The sequence below is a fragment of the Homo sapiens genome, chromosome 18 (genome assembly GCF_000001405.40).
Source record: "Homo sapiens chromosome 18, GRCh38.p14 Primary Assembly".
In the NCBI taxonomy this organism is placed as follows: Eukaryota; Metazoa; Chordata; class Mammalia; order Primates; family Hominidae; genus Homo; species Homo sapiens.
The window spans coordinates 79569332-79589874 of NC_000018.10; the positions used below are offsets into that span (position 1 = coordinate 79569332).

General features: G+C 57.3%; 2 long non-coding RNA genes across 3 annotated transcripts, besides 4 other annotated features; one reads left to right on the top strand and one right to left on the bottom strand.

Moving 5' to 3' along the window:
* Positions 885-2084: an enhancer, noted in NCBI's record as "CDK7 strongly-dependent group 2 enhancer chr18:77330216-77331415 (GRCh37/hg19 assembly coordinates)". NCBI's record gives its function as "activates an origin of replication core promoter dependent on BRD2, BRD4, P300/CBP, MED14 and CDK7 cofactors, with strong dependence on CDK7, by STARR-seq in HCT116 cells {active_cell/tissue: HCT116}" and the evidence as "EXISTENCE:reporter gene assay evidence [ECO:0000049][PMID:35650434]".
* Positions 943-1499: an enhancer, noted in NCBI's record as "H3K4me1 hESC enhancer chr18:77330274-77330830 (GRCh37/hg19 assembly coordinates)". NCBI's record gives its function as "activates a minimal SCP1, AML or CMV promoter by ChIP-STARR-seq in naive H9 embryonic stem cells {active_cell/tissue: H9 hESC(naive)}" and the evidence as "EXISTENCE:reporter gene assay evidence [ECO:0000049][PMID:30033119]".
* Positions 1500-2055: an enhancer, noted in NCBI's record as "H3K4me1 hESC enhancer chr18:77330831-77331386 (GRCh37/hg19 assembly coordinates)". NCBI's record gives its function as "activates a minimal SCP1, AML or CMV promoter by ChIP-STARR-seq in naive H9 embryonic stem cells {active_cell/tissue: H9 hESC(naive)}" and the evidence as "EXISTENCE:reporter gene assay evidence [ECO:0000049][PMID:30033119]".
* Positions 6698-7197: an enhancer, noted in NCBI's record as "H3K4me1 hESC enhancer chr18:77336029-77336528 (GRCh37/hg19 assembly coordinates)". NCBI's record gives its function as "activates a minimal SCP1, AML or CMV promoter by ChIP-STARR-seq in naive H9 embryonic stem cells {active_cell/tissue: H9 hESC(naive)}" and the evidence as "EXISTENCE:reporter gene assay evidence [ECO:0000049][PMID:30033119]".
* LOC284240 (uncharacterized) lies at positions 9951-19687 on the top strand. The gene is made up of 4 exons (NR_148949.1): positions 9951-10089; positions 12162-12379; positions 15740-15959; positions 17309-19687. It is a non-coding gene; the product is annotated as an uncharacterized LOC284240 (long non-coding RNA).
* Positions 10457-16934, bottom strand: LOC124904335 (uncharacterized). 2 transcript variants are annotated; one of them, XR_007066428.1, is made up of 4 exons: positions 16823-16934; positions 15859-16017; positions 14833-15031; positions 10457-14242 (listed from the first exon to the last, which is right to left on the bottom strand). It is a non-coding gene; the product is annotated as an uncharacterized LOC124904335 (long non-coding RNA). The 2 variants fall into 2 exon arrangements; XR_007066427.1 differs by having other exon boundaries at positions 14833-15088.
* Positions 19688-20543: the final 856 nt, after the last annotated feature.

The window sequence follows — 20543 nt, forward strand, 5'->3', positions numbered from 1 at the left end:
GGGTATGCGCCACACTACCTGGCCACGGTCTCTTCCTCAGATTTGCCATAAACCTCACCTGGCGTCCTCAAGTACACTTTGACCACATGGGCATCAGAACATCAAGTGGGAAACACGCATGAATTTTCCACCCCAGGATCCTGGAAAAAGAAGCACTTGTTCCTACAGAACCTGCTTATTCTGATCTTTGGGTAACTAGATAATTCTTTCTAAATCCTGCTGAGGGTGAAGAATATTGTGTTCCATGTTTTAAAAACACATTGGAAGAACACCGTTCTTTCTGAAGCCAGAAGGGAAATACATCAACAGCTGAGGTGAGGTTTCGCTACGGTGCTCAGCAGATTTAGATAACATGGTGTCTGAGTCCAGTAGTACATGCTCTCACCTTCACTGTCTCAGTACAACAGGACACGCTCTCACCTTCACCATCTGGGTACAGCAAGACACGCCCTCACCTTTACCGTCTCAGTACAGCAGGACACACTCTCACCTTCACCGTCTCAGCGCAGCGGGACACGCCATCACCTTCACCGTCTGAGTGCAGCAGGACACGCCCTCACCTTCACCGTCTCAGTACAGCAGGACACACTCTCACCTTCACTGTCTCAGTATAGCGGTCCACGCCCTCACCTTCACCGTCTCAGTACAGCCAAACACGCCCTCACCTTCACCGTCTCAGTACAGCAGAACATGCCCTCACCTTCACCGTCTCAGCACAGCAGGACATGCCCTCACCTTCACCGTCTCAGTACAGCAGGACATACCCTCACCTTCACCGTCTCAGTACAGTGTGACAGTGCTCTCACCTTCACCATCTGAGTACAGTGGGACAGCACTCTCACCTTTATAGTCCCGGTGAGTGATCTATGGAACTGGTGCTTTTTTTTTATTTTTATTTTTTTGTGGAGTGTCTGAAAAATCTCTCCAGTGGTGGTGACTGGGGTGAGTTATCAAGATGAAGCAAATTGGACTGAACTATATGAGAAAAAGCCAGGCCTGCAGAAGATAGGCTGATGGAAGCCCACAGAAATGAGTGAAACTGAAGGCGGGGCCGAGGTTGCCCCAGACCTTCGCTACACACACCCCTCAGAGCTGTTTCTCAAAGATGTTTACACTAGCAAGAGGCTCAGCGTTCATCGTTTATAACAGCTTCTGGGAGCCACAGTTGAGTTTACCGTCTCGCCTTTCAGTACTTATGTATGCAGGGTGGCAACTCAAGCTATCATGGTCACAGAATTAAGAGGGACGAACGTGGATAGGTAGGGTTTCATTTTCCATATCCCTCCAGCAAGCAGGGTGGGTGAGGATGGGGACGCTTTCCTCTCCTGCTTGAGAGCCGACTTCTTAGAGGCCTTAGTAGACATCCACCAAACATCCAACCACCACAGAGGGCGACGGGAAGACCCCCTCATCCAGGGCAAGCAGCTGCGGAGCTCACACGGGGTCGGGGCGAGGGCATCCCGCTGGCATGCGCTTGTAGCCACGGCAGGGGCCCTGGAAGAGAGACAGGAATTAGTCATCCCACGGTTTGTCGTCTGGCGGTGTAGTTTGACACTTGAGAGATGTGATCTTTATTTCAGAAACACCATCTGGCCATCAGCCCAATTCTTGACTTTTTCATTTCTCTCAAGATGATCATTAGGAGTGGTTTCAACAAAACTGAACACAGAATTTTGAGGGCCCCAATCATGACTCAACCAGAGCCCTCCCTGAATTCTTCATGAGTCAGCCCGGCCCTCCCCACTGACTTCACCCTAGCGGGCACCTGTCTTTCTTCTTCTTTTATCACTTTTTGCTTCTCTTTTGGTTTCCAGCTCTGACTGAATTCAGACCCAACACCTTCCAATTCTTCCCGGCCCCCTCAGGGAAACCCAGAGGCAAATTTGAGTGCAGGGAGCGGGGGCTTCGCGTGGAGCTGGGACTGCCCCACGCTGAGAGGGACCTGAGACGCCGTCGCCTTCCCAGGCTGCTCCCCGCTGAGAGGGACCTGAGACGCCGGCGCCTTCCCAGGCTGCCTCGCGCTGAGAGGGACCTGAGACGCCGGTGCCTTCCCAGGGAGCTCTGGAGAGGGGCCTCAGGTTGGGGAGGAGGGGGTCTGCCATCCTCCCTCTCTACGGGGAGGGCTGCCTTGTGATGGGGGCTCAGGATCCACTACAGGGCCCCGACCCCGAGGCAGAAGTGGGGGTGGTGCTTCCTGCCACCCCTCACCAGGCAGGGATGCCAGGGATTCCGCAGCCGGAGTCGAACCTACGTTTACCTGAATGGAAGGAGAGAGGCATCTCTGGCCGAAGGAAGAGGGGAAGTGGCAACTCCCAGTGAAGAGGTCGTCCCCAAGCCACAGGGTGGCTGGTGGCCACTTCGGGAGGAGGCTCCGGGACCTGGGGAGGAAAGGCCAAGCGAGGCGGGTGTGCGTGCAGAGGACGCTCTGTTCAGATTCCTCCCCAAATAGTGATGGAGCTCCAGGAGCTGCCCTGTCAGGGATCTGTGGGGCATGTGTGTTTCCTTTACCACCTCCGGAAACTGCGCTACAATGGCAGTGAGTGGAGGGGATGACCCCGTGGGATGAAGAAAACAGCAAGCCACAGTGGTTCGGAGGAAAGGCCGGCAGTGGCACAAAGTGGGTCTGCAGGGGCGGGCGAGCTGCATCCCAAGCCCAGGAAAAGCCCGAGACACCAGGAGCTGGGCTGCCCTAGGAGGCTGCAGACAGAGGTGGGGCCACCAGTTCCAAAAGCAACTCCAAGACCTCAAGGCTGTCTTCCAACAAGCTCGGCCGTGGACGCACGTCCTCCCACCAGGCGGGAGCAGGGCACCCTTAGCCAGGGCTGCAGGGAGGGCGGACGGATGCCACGGGTGCTGGGCCCTGCTTCCCGCAACAGCAGCCCAGCTGCAGAAGGTCACCAAGATTTGATGACAGGGAGCACGTGAACTCTGGGCTCACTCCAGCCCTCCTGGCTGGCTGCCGAATGCTGGCCACATGACATTTTGCAGTTCAGAACCCAAGTTGAAGAGGGGTATGTGGGACCCCTCAACAGCAGCAGGGAAACCCGTGGGCCGTGGGCAATGCCTTGGTACATTCAGGAAAAGGATATCCTACCTAGAAGTGGAATCCAACCATATTATCAGTCAAGAGTAAAGAGAAAAAGACGTTTTCAGACCAGTACAGAGGCTGCTAGAGGAAGTGCTTCACCAAAACGAGGCATCAGCCCTGAAGGAGGACCTGGCGCCAGGACACAGGAGAGACACGGGGGGCTCTGGGGATGTGGGGAGGGGCTCCTGGGTGACAGTGCAGGAGAGCTGAGGTCTTCCAGGGGGGTCTGAACCACCATTCTCATTGTGTGGAGAGATTTCCATTTCTGACCGAGAGGTTGGGAGAGAATTGAGGATGGATATATGAGCAAAGCCATTTGAAAATCAAGGCAGTTATTAATTCCAGGCAAAATATAATTTTATAAGATGGGCCATGTAATCACAACACATTAGGCTACATTGGCTGCTGTGACCAAGGCCAAAATAACAGTGGTCTAAATAATCTAGAAGCTCACTCTCTCAGGAAGCTGTTGGCATGGAAGTGGATACAGCAGCTCTGCAGGGCCAGGCCTGGCTGTCCTGAGCATATGGCAGGCATCTGCTCACAATCTGCCCACCATCAAGCCCACACTTCCCTCAGGGGAGACCAGGGGAGTGGTGTCTTTCCCCTTCCCATGTCCTGCCAGGAAGCTGTATGCTTCATGTCCACTCATGGGCACTGACCAATGGCCAAAGCCCAGTCCCACAGCCCACTGCAGAGGAGGCTTGCGCACCTGCCCACAGGCCCAGCAACACTGGGATTTCTATAAAAGATGTCTCAAGGCAACTGGAGGACGTTGGGCCTTGGATGCTATTAAGGGATGACTGCTAGTTTAGCTGGGTATGATAGCAATATTGTGGTGATACCGGTAAAAGCCCTTACCCGTAAGAAATATAAACAAAAGTGTTGATGGATGAGATGACACGGTGCCTGAGGTCTGCTTCAGAATATCCCACATGTATTTAGGTATTACTCGTGTGATTAAGAAGTAAATTTTTTAAAAGATCAAAGAATTTCTCCTGCCACATCTAGAAGAGGAGGCTGGAAGGTGATGGGGGACCAGCCATCCCTGTCCATGGGCATACCCACAGCTGCTGTGAACACCCACAGATGAGCTGATGCCCACCCAGCGTGGGGTCCACCTCCACCTGGGCCCGATGCAGGAGGGGCCCAGGGAAGGAAGCAAACAGCCCTTGAGGTGGACATTTCCAACAGCCCCAAATGGTCACCCTCCCCAGCAGGACATTAGCAGAAAATACCTATAACTTAGAAATCATTGAAAAGCAGTGAAACACTTTTTTTTTAATTGAAGGTGAGAACCAAAAGGAAGTTTAAAGAATATTCCAAGTGAGCAGAGGGGGTGGCGGGATCACCCAAAAATGCTACTTTGTGGTTATGGTCATTATAAGCATAAAATATATCTAAAATACTTGAAAGTTATCACTTTAATAAAACAACAAAGAGATAGAAAAAGCCTTGCTGAAGCAAGGGAGGCTGATGTGCACAGGACGAACAGAAGTGAAGTGAGGAAGAACAAGGGAAACTTCGTGGCCCAGGCCCGCGTGCATGCCTAGCTGGGTTTACCACCCCCGCGAGGGCCTCATGCCACGCGTGGACACCGTCAGCCCAGTGGCCAGAGCCTGGCTGGGTTTACCACCCCTGCAAGGGCCTCATGCCACACATGGACACCGTCGGGCCAGCGGCCAGAGCCTGGCTGGGTTTACCACCCCCATGAGGGCCTTGTGCCACACATGGACACTGTTGGCCCAGAGGCCAGAGCTCCCCAAAGCCAGGGCTGCTGCCTGGAGAACAGTTACCCTTGGGGTGGGAGCGGTACCTCCCACGAGCTGCAATGGGACTGTGTGTGCCGCCGGCACCTGGCATTGCGCATTCTGCGTGTGTCCCAGGAGGACCCTGTGCGGTGACTGTTCCACACTTTCCACATTTGCTTCTCCTGCGAGTCGCAATGGGACTGCGTGTGCCGCTGGCCCCTGGCATTGCACATTGCGGGTTTGTGCCAGGAGGACCCTGTGTGGGGACTGTTCCACACTTTCCACATTTGCTTCTCTGGTAGCAGGTGAGCTCCGGGATTCCGTCAGCGCTACCTCCGCGGGTCCCCTGAAATATTCAAAGAGTATGAACAGGTTAAAAGTTTTAACCCCTGAATAGCTGGGATGTAAAAAATGAAATCTGGCAAGTGGTTAAACGAAATTACAGACCTAATTGCTTACACTTAAAATAATACTAAAGCAAATGTGAGATTGTGTTTAACTTGGAGGACCAGCACCGTCGGCAACGTGGTTCTGTTCTAATTTTTCACCAGGGAGGGCTCTACATTCCAGGCTGTTATGAAATGAAGTCCTCAGTGTCTGTGAAGTTCAAGTGTTTTAAATGGAGCAGAGGCCTCTCCAGGGATTGCCCACCCCATTTCCACCTCAGTCCTGTTGGGAAACCATCCCTGCTGCCATAAGCAGAGAGCAAGAGCTCCCACCTTCTGATGCAGCGGCTAGATACCAGGAGGGCCACGGAAGCTGGGACCCTGAGAGACTCCGAACCACAGATCCAACTGGGGGATGCCAGGCACTGACAGAACCACGGGGCCCTAAAAGGCGGAAACCGTGACTCCACAGGACTCCTCTCTTCTGCAACCTGCTCCAAGGCTGCCCCTGTGCAGAGCTCAACTATGCAGCTGTGGCCCTGACCCCTCTGCCAGGCTGCCCGCACCACTCCAGGGGACACGGTTTCCACTGTGGGCAGCTGGTGCAGTGTGACCGTGGTGCAGGTGGGGCCTCTGGGCAGAGGACATCTTGGTAAACTGGGCTGCAGCAGGGCCCAAAGGTCGGGATTGAGGGGAGGCCCTGCCAGGTGACCTCTGCAAGGACCTGGGGAACTGCACGCAAAATCGCAGAGAGAGAAGGATGTGGTTCTTAACCAGCTTCCACCCTGTCTTGCAGCCTCTGTGTTTACTTCCCAGTTGATCTTTAATTTCAGTTGCCAAAGCAGCTGTTTGCACCGTGCAGATGAGTCCCAGGGGCCTCAGACCCGCCCAGCCGCCCGCCCAAGGCGAGAATTGGGGCTGCGGCTGGGCTGGGCAGACGGGGTTGGGGGGCACAGCTCACAGGGCCCCCCACATTCCGCGCTGCCAAGTCTTCTTTTTCCAGTAGTCCCAAGCTAACTTGAAGAAAGAAAAATATGAGGGAGGGAAAGAGAGAAAGAGAGGTGAAAAAATATGGTCATAAATCTGGGACCTGTTTTTATTGGTGCTTCTATTTCAGATTTCCAGTTTGGAAAAATACTTTTTTATGCATCTCAGGCACCTTGGTGATGGTGGAGTGATGATGATAAATGCAAAAAGTTTTTAAAAGTCCTTTTTGTGCCCAGGAGAACAAAGTCTGGTACAGTGCGGCCACCTCAGGGCCTCTGTCATCCTTAGACTAAAGAGGGTTGGCTTGTCCAATTTAACTTTGCCCCATGCCTCCGTGCTAGTGTGACTGGGCCAGGATGCCCTCGGTGCCCTGAGACCCTGTCCATGCCTGGCTGCGCCTCCCAGGTTTGTCTTAGGGAGCAGAGGTTGGCCAGGCGCCCTGTGGGAGGCTCAGCAGGGAAAGCGCCTCTTGTTGGGGAATAGCTCGGGGGAAGCGCTTTCAGATGAACTGCAGGGAACAGGTGAAGAGTGTGGACACCGGAGCATGGGGCGGTGAGAAGACACAATACGAGGCCTGCCGTCCGAACGCGGACCCTGCAGCCCCTGCGGCGGGAAGCCGTGAACACAAGGCTGAGTTTGCGCCTCTGATTTGCGCCACGTGATGGGACTTGCCGGGGCCTCCCTGCCCGTGAAGAGGCTGTTTTTGCTTTGAGTCTGCGTGCACGGTGGGTCTGCTGCGCCTGCATAGGTGGGTTTAATTGGCTCCAGCTGCACTGGCGGCGCCTCTCCTCCACTAGGATGTGGCGCATGGAGTTATGGGTGGAGCCCTTTGAAGCAGCTGCAAGTCATTCTGTCGTATAAACTGAAATAAGAAGAGGGTGAAAAATCCAAGCCCGTGACTCTGCCCGCTCCACAGCTGTGCTCACACAGCTCCGCGAGACGGCCGCCCAAACAAAGCTACCTCCGTGGGCCTTGGCCGGCTGACAAGAGGAAGAGAAGGAGATTACTCTAAGCTCCAGGTATTCTGGTGAGCTGGAAGCTGGCCGGGAGGGCCAGGCGCCAGTGACACCTCCAGCCAGCAGGCCCATGTGGAGGCCCCATCCCGAGAGCGTGCCCGGGGCGAGGCGTGTCCGGCCACCACCGACCACCAGCCGCCCAGGAGGCAGAGGTGACCGGAGAGGGGGCTGCTCGGTTCAGGGAGGAGCCCAGCCCCCAACGCAGGGCACGGATGGAATCTCTCAAGGTTCCCTGGGCATCCTGCCCACCCAAGCTGACTGCTAAGGTCATCGATACGGAGCAGGAGCCCAGGCCTAGAGTGTCCAGGCCAAGTGACCACCATGAGTGCCTGAGAGGCCGGACGTGCAGGCTGGCTCCTGGCTTCTCACCTGAGCCTCCCCAGCCCCTTGCCTCCACGTCTGAGAATGCCCGGCGCCCCAGCATGGCCTTGGGGAGGCGGCGGTGCTGAGTGCATGGGGCCGAGAGGATGGCTCTGGGCCAGTCGGGTGCTGGGACAGTGGCTGGCAGGGGACCCATTTGGAGAAGAGCCCACTGCTCTGAGCAGCTCCAGCTGCAGCTCCCACCGCCCTCTTGTGAGGGCCTGCCTGGGCCCGTGTCCAAATCCCAGCACCACAGGCCACATGGCCGGCAGGTCTCACGGGGTGAGCACAGCAGAGGCCGCTTTTACACAGGGACCCCTGGGGCCCCCTCCAAGGGCTGCTGCCTGAGAGGGAGCGTGGCCCACGGAGACCCCCTGGACTTGGCCTCTGGGGCCCACCTGGTGGTTTCTGAGGGTGCTGCCAGGCCAGAAGCTCAAATCCTGCTGGCTGCGCTGTCCTGAGGCCACAGCCAACACCCACTCCTGCCTCCAGCCCGCTGTCCCTTCCCACTGTTAGCGGGGCCTGGGGGATGAAGGAAGACCACCACAGTGCGGTGGGAGAGAGAAAGCCCTCGGCTTCATCCTGGGTGTGTTGTGGAGATGCAGACGGGTCCGAGGTCAGACGAGGGTACTGGACTTGCCGAGGTGTCCACACTCAAAGGGAGCGTCTGGAGCGGGGGGCGGCGTGAGGAGTTCAGGGGCTTCCCGGGAGCAGTTCCAGCTGACAGAGCTCCATGGAAATCAGACATGACCTTGGGGACCGCCGACCTGTGGGGTGTGCACCAGAACCCCACACTGTGGGAGCCCAGCCTTCCTCTCACTGGGTGGCAGTGGCTGGGCTCACACAGACCACAGCAGTGTCCAGCTCCCCTGTCAAGGAGAGACTCCTCCTCAGGGTGGGCTGCGGGACCAGCGCCAGCGGTGATGGGGTCCATCCTCACCGTCTCCTGAAGGGCCCGGCCTGGCCTGAGACTTCGATCTCGGTGATGACAGCCACCAGCTGGATGAACTGGCCCCGCGTCCTTCCTACTCCTCATCTCCCTTCTCTTGCTGGGACTTCACGAGAGAGCCCGAGTTACTGAGTCAACAGGAAGTAGAAGAGACTCCCACGCAGCTCAGGCCCCCGTGGCAGGACCAGGAAGGAGGGAGAGGTGGCGCGTTGCCTGGGTGCTCATGGACACCAGGTCTGCTCCCCATGCACTTGTCGTCTGTGCCACGCTGCAGGGGCCAGGCAGCCACAGGCATCGTTTGGGCCCCGAGCTGGCCAGGCTGGAGTCAGGGCCCACTAAGCCGCAGGTGCCTCTTGCTTGGGGGTGGGGGCTGAAGGGTGTCTTCCTGCCGTGGAGCTATAGCTGGTGCCTGGTTCCCTCTGTCCAGACACAGCTCTGGGCTTGCAGCCTCTGCCTCCCTGATGGGACAGCAACCCTGGGCATCGCTAGAGGCTCTGAGGTCTGCACGGGGCACCATCCCGTATTCTGCAGGGTCCAGAGACACAGAGAGGGAGGCCAGCCCAGCACCATTGTGGGAGAAAGGCCAGTGATGTCATCAGGGGGCTAAGGCTGGCAGCCACCTTCTAGTGGACATTACTGCTGAGAACTGGCCAGGTGCCTGCACTCGCTGCCATGAGTAATTGCCCAGTGGCCCGTGAGGTGCTGGCAGCTCCTCCATTTACAAGTTAGGAGACAGGTACAGAGAGACCAGGTGGCCTGTTCCAGCAGCACTGCTCTGGCTCTTGACCACCACCACATCAGCAGCAAAACCGCCAGGGCTGAAATCAATACAGATTTATCCATTCTCACCAGGCTGCGGGCGCCTTGCAGGTCTGTGCTCCTAGCTGGGGGCCCAGAGAGACTCTGCTTCCAGGACTGCCCGAGTGTGGAAGGAACCCAGCTGCCAGCTGCAGGACTGAGGTCCCATCTCCTCCCTGGCCTCGCACAGGCCCTCCTGCCTGCCAAGCAGCAAGTGATGCCGCACCTCAGTCTCTCCCTCTGCTCTCCAGTTCCCTGGACCCCCAGCCCAAGCTCCGGTGATTACCAGGTAATTCCTGTCCCAAGACAGCCGCGCCGAGTGTCCTAACACAGTTGCCACACGGCTCCATGTCCTGTGCACAGGCCAGGGGTTCGAGTGGGCATCAGCAATGCTCACTTCAGAGCCCCTCCGCCACGACGTGGCCATGTGCACACAGCTCCGTGGCCAGCGCTGGAAACTGCGTCTCCTGCCTCCAGCTGCGTTACTTGGAGAAGCAGGAACCTCTCCATCCTCACTTTCCATCCGCACATCCAGGGCCGCCCACGTGCACCCACACCGTGCGCTCACTGTGTGGCCTGTCGAGAACACAGTGTCCTCTGCCCCTGATTTCCCAGGAGAGTCGCACGTCTGTGATGGTGGTCTCCCAGGCACGCATGGCCATGGAGCACGGGAACGTGTGCGCCTGCTGGGAGCACATGGGAAGACTGCACGCCGGGTGCTGAGGCTTCCTGTGAAAAAAAGAACCTGAAACAAGTACTAATTTTTTACATTGATTACAGATTTAAATGATAATTTTTTTATAGATTGGGTTCAACAAAATATTAAAACTAATGACACTTATTGGCCGGGCGCGGTGGCTCACGCCTGTAATCCCAGCACTTTGGGAGGCTGAGACGGGCGGATCATGAGGTCAGGAGTTTGAGACCATCCTGGCTAACAAGATGAAACCCTGTCTCTACTAAAAATACAAAAAACTAGGCGGGCATGGTGGCGGGTGCCTGTAGTCCCAGCTACTCGGGAGGCTGAGGCAGGAGAATGGCGTGAACCCGGGAGGCGGAGCTTGCAGTGAACCGGGATCGTGCCACTGCACTCCAGCCTGGGGACAGAGTGAGATTCTGTCTTTAAAAAAAAAAAAAAAAAAAAAAGACACCTATTTTTTATTCTTTTTTTAATGTGGACATTAGAAACCTTAAAATAGCATATGTGGTTCCCATTAGATTTCCATCAGACAGTGTGTGTCTAGAAAATGGCTATAAAGTGTTCTACCTCCTGCTGATTTTATTGGAATCGTGTCTGATCTGCAGGACTAAGCACGTGGGCCTGGGAACTGTCCACGCTGGGGCACGTAGCGTTGCTGAGGAGCAGGTTAGATGTTGGTTTTGTTTTGTTTCCGATTTTTGAAGATTTAATTTGGAAAGATTTTGAGGTCATGCATGGTCTACAAATGACTTTTCTGTCCCGATTCAGGATGGACGCCCACACACCTGAGTCCACCCACGCAGGCCTGTAACATGCATGTGTGTACATGAGCACGTGTGTACGTGAGCGCGTGTGGCGGTACCAGCACAGGGGTGAGCTGCGGCCTCACAGGCTTCTCACTGCTGCAGCTGGATGTGCCACTGTAGACGGTCGGGGCAGGGGCCTCCTGCCCTCAAGCTGTGTGTGGCAGCCACGGGTCCCCGTGCCTGCAGCCTGAGACAGGCGCCTGGAGTCGCTGCCTGGGGCAAGTGAGTTCTGCTGGAGGAAATGATGTAGATGCTGCAAGAAGGCAACAGCAGAGTCAGAAGTTGAGGAGAAGACAGAGGTAATAGGGAATTGCTCCTCAGCAACGACACATGAGAGTCGCGTGTGCCGTGATCCCAGGCAGCTGCAGCTGCGTGGATGCCACATGGGGAACCCGGCTTCCAGACCCGCCCTCAAGGGCCGAGCGTCTCACGCCCAGCTTCATTCCTCCCCATCTTGGGGGTGCTGCTCTTGTGCTGCCCAGGGTCCCCCAGTCGTGCAAAGCCTGTCTTTGTTTTGTTAGCCAAAGTCCCAGGACGGGGGCTCACCCGAACCATGTCACCCTGTGATGAGGACAGGAGGGATGGAGCCTTCCTCGATCTGAGCTCGGGCTGCAGCCCTGCGGCCTCTCCCGCTCCATATGCACGGCTGCGGTTCCCTCTGCTGGGCGGTCCCAGTGGATCCAGGAGCCGGGGGGGCCCTATGACCTGGCTGAACGGAGCCCTGGGTGTGAAGTGCTCTTATGCAGCCTCAACTGCTGCCCTCACCCCAGGGCCTCCTGGAGAGGACAGAGCCACCAGCAGACAGCTTCTCCCTCACAGCCCAGGCAGCATCTGTGCCCAGGGAGGCCTGCGCACCCCCGCAGGAGCCTCGGTCACCCCCATTTCTGAGTGCCCTGCCACAGGCAGCCCTCAGGAGCCCCCGTGTGTTGGCCACCACCGTGGAGGGCTTGGCGTGGACAGTAGGCCATGGTAGGGGCATCTGGGGTGCCCCGTGGGGGCCAATGGGGGGCCAGCCACCCCGCAGCATGGGCTGACTCCTCCCTCCCCCAACATGCTGCAGTTCCCACTTTGTTAAGCCCCTGGAATGCAACCAATTAAAGAGCTGTTTGTGTTAAATGAGATCCTGGTCTGAAAATGCAGATGCGTCTGGATTATTAAAAGGCCATCAGTCACCCACGCATTAGTCTAAGTTTGGTCTGCTTGACTTCTGCTGGTCTGACTTTTGGATGGGGGTCTAGGCAGGAGCTTCTGGGGCTCCAGCAACCCTGAGGGATGGACTAAGGGTCTGTCCCCCTCACCTGTTTGGTCCTGCCCCTCAAGGTCTTCCTGAGACCCAGGCTGGTGTGGACACAAGGAAGCCCCGCCGGAGGGCCCTCTTTACATGGGGAGGCCTGAACCCTGAGCAGTCAAGGAAGTTTTGGAAGTGAGTAGCTATGGCTTCTCCACCTGCTCCTGCCTGGACGGCGCCCTTCAGAACTCAAGCCCATCCATGAGACAGCACCCACCGGGGCCAGTGAGTCACTCCATGAAGGCCAAAGGTGAGCACGTAGGTATTTCTCTCCAAAGAGAGCAGCAGGTACAGACATGGGTGTTGACACACAGAGGGACACATGCACATATGTGCACACATGGCACGTACATGTGCACTGTGCACATGCACACATGGCATACATATGCACACATGCACAGTGCACACATGGCATATGCTTACATACACAATGCACATGCATGGCATACATACGCTCACATGCACAGTGCACACGGCATATACATATGTTCATGCACAGTGCATGCACATAGATAGCATACATATGCTCACGTGCACAGTGCACATGCACGGCATACATATGCTGACATGCACAGTGCCCACACACACACGGCATACATATACTCACATGCACAGTCCACATGCACACATGGTATATGCTCACATGCACAGTGCACACATGCACACATGGCATACACATGCTCACATGTGCCGTACACATGCATACATGGCAAACATGCTCACATACAGTGCACACATGACATGCTCACATGCACACTGCACACATGGCATACATATGCTCACAGGCAGTGCCCGCACACAGCGTACATATGCTCACATGTACAGTGCACACATGCACATGGCATACATATGTTCACATGCACAGTGCCCACACACGGCATACATATGCTAACTTGCATAGTGCTCACGTACATGGTATATATATGTTCACATGCATGCTGCACACAGTGTACATATGCTCATGTACAGTGCACACAGCACACATATGCTCACATGCATAGTGCACACACGCATACATGGCATACACATGCTAACATGCACAGTACACAGCATATATGTGCTCACATGCACGGTGTGCACGCACATGGCATATATATGCTCACATGCACACTGCACACGCACACACAGGATACATATGCTAACATGCACAGTGCACAGGCACGGCCTACATATACTCACATGTACAGTGCACACACATGGCATACATATGTTCACATGCACAGTGCACACATGCACACAGGATACATATGCTCACGTGCACAGGCATGGCATATATATGCTCACATGCACAGTGCACACAGCATACATATGCTCACATGCGCAGTGCACACAGCATACGTAAGCTCACATGCACAGTGCACACATGCACACACCGTACATATGCACACATGCACAGTGCATACACGCACACGGCATGCATATGCTCACATGCACAGTGCACACACACACGGTACACCTATGCTCACATGCACAGTGTACACATACAGCATGCATATGCTCACATGCACAGTGCACACTCATGGTATACATATACTCACATGCAACGTGTACACGCATATGGCATACATATGCTTACATGTGCACACATACCATTCACATGTATATGCACTCGATTCATGCACACGTGCCACCTACATTCCACCTACATGCCACCACATGCACACAGGTGCACATTCGCAGGCTCACACACTTCCTGATGCCTGTGTGGACACCACGCCAGTTCTCCTTCCCTGGGGCGCTCCTGTCTGTCTGTATTTTGGTTGTGCCTTGGGAGCTGAGAAGGCTCTAGCCTGTTTTCACTGGGATTCAGAGGCATTGTGGACCGCAGAACTGTGTCAGCCCCACCCATCTTCTCCACAAATGTTCTTTATTAAGAGAACCTTAATTGAGACCATTAAGCAGAAACTGCAGAGATTGTTGACTTAATAGTGGAAACAGCCCCAGTGCACATCGTTTTGAGGCCTGGGGCGAGTCATTAGGCTCCTGCCTCAGCTTCCCCTCTGTGGGCCGGTGGTGTGGCCTGTGTGGGCTCTCAGGGGATGAATGCTATGAACCACCGCGGGAGGGGCTGCTCTGTGCTATTTCAGCAGGTTTTTCATCACCTCGCAAGGGCCTGGAGTTGGGAGAGAAAGAGCAAAATGAAAAGGCACCTCTGATGACAGCCGCCACCCCTGAGCCCCGAGCCATTCTCTCTCGGAGCTGCAGGAGACATGGCCGCATATGCTGCAGAGGGGCTGCCTGTGTGCAGCCTGAGGACATGGAGGCTCTATGTGCAGCCAGACGGAGTGGCCCTGTGGCTCTCCACAGCCCTGACCTGTGCCCCTGCACAGAGCTCAGCGAGGACGCTACCTTCTAGAGCGGATACCTTCTAGAGCGGATACCCACAGATGCACCGTGGAGTCCCCTTGCAACCCCCAGGAACCATGTTTTTCTGCTTAACCCATTGTTTTAGGGTCCTGGGGCTGCCAGGTCAATGTTCCACAAACTGGGGGACTTAACAATTTATCCTCTCAGAACCCTGGAGGCCAAAGTCTGAAACCCTGGCACAGCAGGGCATGCTCCCCGGGTGCTCCTGGGCATAGGAAGGACATGCCCCCAGGGTGCTCCTGGGCGTGGGCAGGGCGTGCCCCCCCCCCCGGGTGCTCCTGGGCGTGGGCAGGGCGTGCCCCCCCCACCGTGCTCCTGGGCGTGGGCAGGGCATACGTGCTCCCCGGGTGCACCGGTGGCTCCTAGCCACCTGTCCCAGCATCTGCTGCTCTCAGCTTCCCTGGCTTGTGCCGTTGCTCCAACCTCGCCTGCCTCCCATGGCACCGTGTTGGTCTCTTTCCTCTTAGGAGGATGCCTGTTCCTGGACTTGGGCCCCGCCCAGCCCAGTGCTTGTCTTGACCACATCTGCAGGATCCTGTTTCCAAATGAGGTCCCACTCTCAGGTCTCAGGGGCTGGGACTTCCACATGCTTCTGGGGAAACAGTTGAACCCACAGCTCCCCCTCTGTGTTCCCATCTTTCCCTACTCTGGAGTTCACAACACTTTTCTGGTGCAGAGATGGCCCTCAGGCCCTGCCCCCAAAAGCCTCGTCTACACAGCACTCCCTGCCCCCAAAGGTCTCATCTACACAGCACTCCCTGCCCCTGAAGGCCTCGTCTACACAGCACTCCCTGCCCCTGAAGGCCTCGTCTACACAGCACTCCCTGGTGGTGTTCAACCCAGCTGCACCTTGAACCCTGGGAGCCCTGAAGGGACCGATGCCTTTGTGGTGGGTTCAGGTGGCCTGAGGGCTAGAGAGGCAGAGCTTGTGTAGACGGGAAACCCCAGCTGGGAGCAGGCAGCCTGGGCAGAAGGGGCCGGGAGCCAAGCTGCAGGCCTTGGGGAGGCTTGGGCCCACGTGAGCAGGACCCATGCTGCTTGCTCTTCTGCTGCTGCTCCTGCTGGCACTGGGTGTGCTGGGGGCTGGGCAGGTGCATCCGCTGCTCCAAAAAGCACTTGTTCCTCCTTTCCACTAAAGTGCCCCTGCGCGCCCCACATGATGTCACATGCCTCCACATGCTCCCCATGTCCCCCTGGCCCCTGCGTGCCCCATCCCTATGTGCTCCCATGTGGCACCTCCCAGATCACCTGGACACGAGTCTCGGGGTAACCAGCCCCCCTGCAGACCTGCAGAAGCTTGGACAGCAAGTGGGAGTCAGCAGTCAGGAAACTCGGGGGCTTTGCACCTGGAGGGAAGCCCACCTGATATGAAAATGCTTTCGAAGCTTGTGGATCGGAGAGGCCAGTGGTGTACCGGGTGGTCCAATCGATCAGTCAGGACGATCATCAGCCCCATTTCTCAGGTAAGAAAACCAGGCTCCAAAACTTTCAGTGACTTGCGCACAGGGGCAGGTGGGTCACCTGTCAGCAGCAGAACCAGTGCAACCCCAGCAGGTCTGGGGCTGGAGGCACCCCTGCACCCCACACCCCCTGCACCTCCCCACTGCACCCGAAACCCCCCATACCTTCCCCACAGCCCCCCACCCTGCACCCTGCACCATGCACCATGCACCCAGCACCCTCGCATCCTACACGCTTCTGCAACCCCCTGCCCCGCAAACCCTGTCCCCACACCCCCGCACACCTAGCAGCCCCCACCTGACACTCCATACCCCATGCTCCCACTGTGTCCCCGCACACTCCCACACCCCATGCTCCCACATACCCAGCATCCCGCACCCCACACTCCATACCCCCCACACCCACTGTGTCCCTGCACACTCCCACACCCCATGCTCCCACTGTGTCCCCACACACTCCCACACCCCACGCTCCCACATACCCAGCATCCCGCACCCAGCAGCCCCCACCCCACACTCCATACCCCCTGCACCCCCTGTGCTCCCGTACACTCCCACACACCCAGCATCCCCCACCCCCCCAGCCCACACTCCATACCTCCCACCCCCTCAGCCCACACTCCATACCCCCCACACCCGCTGTGCCCCTACACACTCCCACACCATGCACCCCATATCCTCATCCCCACTCCATGCACCCCATATCCTCATCCCCACTCCACGCACCCCATATCCTCATCCCCACTCCACACCACTGCACCCTGCACTCCCGCACGGTGGACACCCTGCACTCTGGTTGCTGTGCCAAGCCCCGGGGGTGCCTCCCTGCCTGTGTCCTCTGCTCTGAGCCTGGCTTCACAGCCCACCTCTCCCGGGGTGTCTGGAGGGGTTCGGGTTCCTGGTAGCAGCCCAGCTTGCCTGGCTCCAGCACTCCTCCAGGTCCTCCTACACCCCGCCCAGGCTCCGTGCAGGCCTAGCACGCCCCTCCCAGCCCCTGTGGTCAGAGAAGGGAACAGCTTTCAAAAGAGGAGCCCCTTGGAGTCCAAGATTCTTCAAAACTTCCAAAAGAAGTTCTATATTTTGGACAATATTAGTTTCTTTCAAATAACTCATTTCATGAAAAATACATGACAATTGTAGGATGGGAAAAGGCTTGTGGAGCCGTGGCACTGGGGGGGAAAAGGCATGTAGAGCCGTGGCACTGGAGTGGGGGAAGGCGTGTGGAGCCATGGCACTGGGTGGTGGGGGGAAGGCGTGCGGAGCCATGGCACTGGGTGGTGGGAAGGCGTGCGGAGCCATGGCACTGGGTGGTGGGGGGAAGGCGTGCGGAGCCGTAGCACTTTCCTTTAAAGGTGCAGTACAGCACGTCCACGTCCTCCCGACACCGTGAGTGCGGCCACACCGAAGCCAGGGGAGCAGGTGCGCTTCTCCATAGGTCCTGGTTTAAAGCAAGCGGAAACACCACAGGCTCGGGATTGAGGTGGTAAGGGACGTCCAGTCCTCAGGTGAGGTTAAGTCCTTCTACAGAGACAGCACTGGGGGGACCTCACAGTGCCCCCCGGGAAGCGCTGTTTGGGCAGGCTGCAGGAGCTGAGGCCAGAGTCCTGGCACGGGGCTACGGGGCCCTTGGTGTCTTTCACTGCTGTGACGGGGGCTCCCTGCTGCCCCGGCACCTGCGGGCCTTGGCCAGTCCCGAACACCAGGTTGTGGCAGTGGAGACCTGGGGGGTGGCCAGCGGCCCCCTATGGAGGTTCTGCCGTGCGTGTCAGGGCCCCAGGCAGGGCTGTGCAGCGCCAGCCTCACTATCAGTGTGGACACACATCTGTGGGAGGGGCTCTCGTTTTCCCCACCTTCCGGTGAGGGAACCAAGGCAGACTCAGCACCAAGCAGGGGTCAGGCCCTGGTGGAGGTGGATTTTCTTCACTGTGGCACAGTCCTGCTCAGTTTCTAGTCCTGATGGAGGTGGTGGAGGCCCTGGTGGAGGTGGATTTTCTTCACCGTGGCACAGTCCTGCTCAGTCCCTGGACTGCCCCCCTGCACCCAGCAGCACAGGCCGCAGAGCCCAGGAGATGTGGGCAGGAGCTTTCCCCTCGCCTGCCCCACTCCTGCCCACCCAGTGGGCACCCCGTAGATGGGAGCAGCTCTCCGTCTAGCACTTGGACTGCTGGGCTGAGTCATGGCTGCAGGCAACGGCTTAGTGGCATCTCCCAGGTGCCACTGCAGGGATAGCCTCTGTGTCTCCAGGCTCTGCTGTGGCCCCGCGGAGCCAAGCTTACCCATGCCGCTGAGTCGGGGGCTGCAGAGGCCTGTGCGGGCTGCGGTGGCTAGACCTGGGCCTGGCTGCTCAGATGCTGCTGGAACCCTGCTCTCAGCCTGGAGGCTGGCAGGTCTGCCAGGGGCCAACGGGCAGGCATCGCCCGTCTGAAGCTCTTTGCCTCTGAAGGAGCTTCAGCGCCAGCCAGGGGCAGTTTATGAGAAATTCAGAGAAACATGTAGGCTTCTCTGTGTCTTCTGAAGAACTGCCAATGCCTCACCCACCTCTGGCCAGAGGACTCTGGAAAACTTGCGTTTCTGGTATGTATAGAAAAGCGACATGCTAAGCCGCAAAGCCGCCCCCTTCAAGACGCAGCACACGCAAGGCTCACCCTGCCACGAGCACTGGTACCGGCTCACTTTCCGCTCTGCTCGGCGGGACTCCGGCCAGGCCCAGCGTGCAGCTGCAGAAAGGTTTAGAGTGAGGCTTCCACTTCACTCTCCGGTCCAAGAGTTATACTATCTGGTGGAAGTGTTTCTTTTTCCTTTTTTGGACAGTTAAGCTACAGCGATGGGCCAACTGGCACCAGTGTGGAGAGACAGGTATTCCTCACTTTGTGGCACCAACGTGGTTCTGGCAAAGTGGCCTCTTTTCCAGTAAAACAGTCTTCTCCCCTCCCTCGCCTTCCATTTTAGGACCAGTGGTTTGTCCCTGGGGAAGCAACCCCAATTACAGCCAGCTTTGCCATCTGTGGAAATAGCCTGGTCACCAGAGGCACAGAAGCCAGATGCGTGGCCATGCCGGCGGCAGCACCCGCGGCAGCACCCGGGGCAGCCCCTGCCCCCGACCCATGAATCTCAGTGTCCCCCAGGCCGCCCACGTCCCACTCTGCCCAGCCTACACCACCTCCCTCACCGCAAAGTGCCCGCTCTGCAGCTCCATGCCCCTGCCCAGTGGAGCCTCAGCCCCGTCCCACCTGCAGCATGCCCAGCCCAAGTGCCCGAAACCCAGAGCCTCGGACTCAGGGCAAAAGGAAGCCGCCCCATTCCACCACATCAGGGTCTCCACTGTGCTTATTTAGAGCAGAGCACAACTCTCCTTGCGTCTGAGTCCCTTCACACAGGTGACTGAGAGGCTCAGGACAGAGCATTGCAGGGGAGACAGAGGAGGGGCTCGGCCTCGCCAAGCAGCTGGCTCTATTCATTTAGCAGAACCGCTGCCCCACCCCCTCCCAGCCCCTGCACGGAGGGAGGCCACTGGGGCCGGCCCGTCCCCAACTTCTATTTTGTTTTCGCCAGAGCCGCCTCCAGACTCCCTCTTCACATTTTATGTCAACTCTGGGGCCCTGCTGGCTGAAAGTGAGTTCTGTTTTCCGGCAGCCCTGTGGCTTTTGGACTCGGCCTTGAAATTAGTTCATGGCGACCCAGGCACACATCGCGCTGGGAAGCCACGTGGGAGCCGTGCGGGTGGAGCGGCCGCCACAGCCAGACTGAAATGTAGCACAGCGCCTGGGCCTCGTCAGGCCTTTATGACAGAGTGTAAAGGGAATTGCTGCTTAGTCACCAATTTGCTTGGCAAGATTGGATGGATTAGGAAACACGTCGAAGGTCAGACAGTAGGAGTTTGTCTAGACGCTCTATTTTGGACTCGGCGCTGACCCGAGGTGTTTCTGTAGCAACCTTTACAACACTGCTATTCTGGCAATATTGGAGAAAACATGATCCCTCCCATCATCAGGTAGGGCCCGCTCTGAAAATCCTCGCCCCATCGCTGGGTTTGCTGAGGCGCCTCCAACTCCATTTAGGACGAGGAAGCCCGACGGGGAGGCCCCTGGGAGGGACCGGCTGCTTGGGCGGAGGCCAGGCCTCGGGAAGCTTGTCCAAGGCTCACAGGGAAAAGCGCCAAGAAATGGAAGTGGCTCATTTTTCCTCTGGGCCTGAGGGGAAGGTTTTGATTTTACAGCCGCCCCTAGTCATTTCTCACAGGTTTGAAGCAGACCTTTCCAGGGACGGGGGAGGGAGAAGGGAGATGGGGAAGGATGGGGAGACGCCGTGAGGAGGCAGCCACCTCCGGGGATCCCCGGAAGCCTGGACGTGCTCTGCCCGGTGGTTCTGTCCCCAGGGAACACGTGGTCATGTCTGGAGGCATCTGTGGCTGTCACAGTCATGGTATGGGGTGCTCCTGGCATAGAGGGGTGGGGCTGCTTCCTTTTGCCTGTCCCTGCTGCCCTCCCCGCCCTCCATGTCTCCCTGCCACCTGCCCTGCCCTCCCCACCCTGCATGTCTCACTCTCCATCGTACCTGAGGGCCCTCTGCCAGCTGGGAGAGGGGACA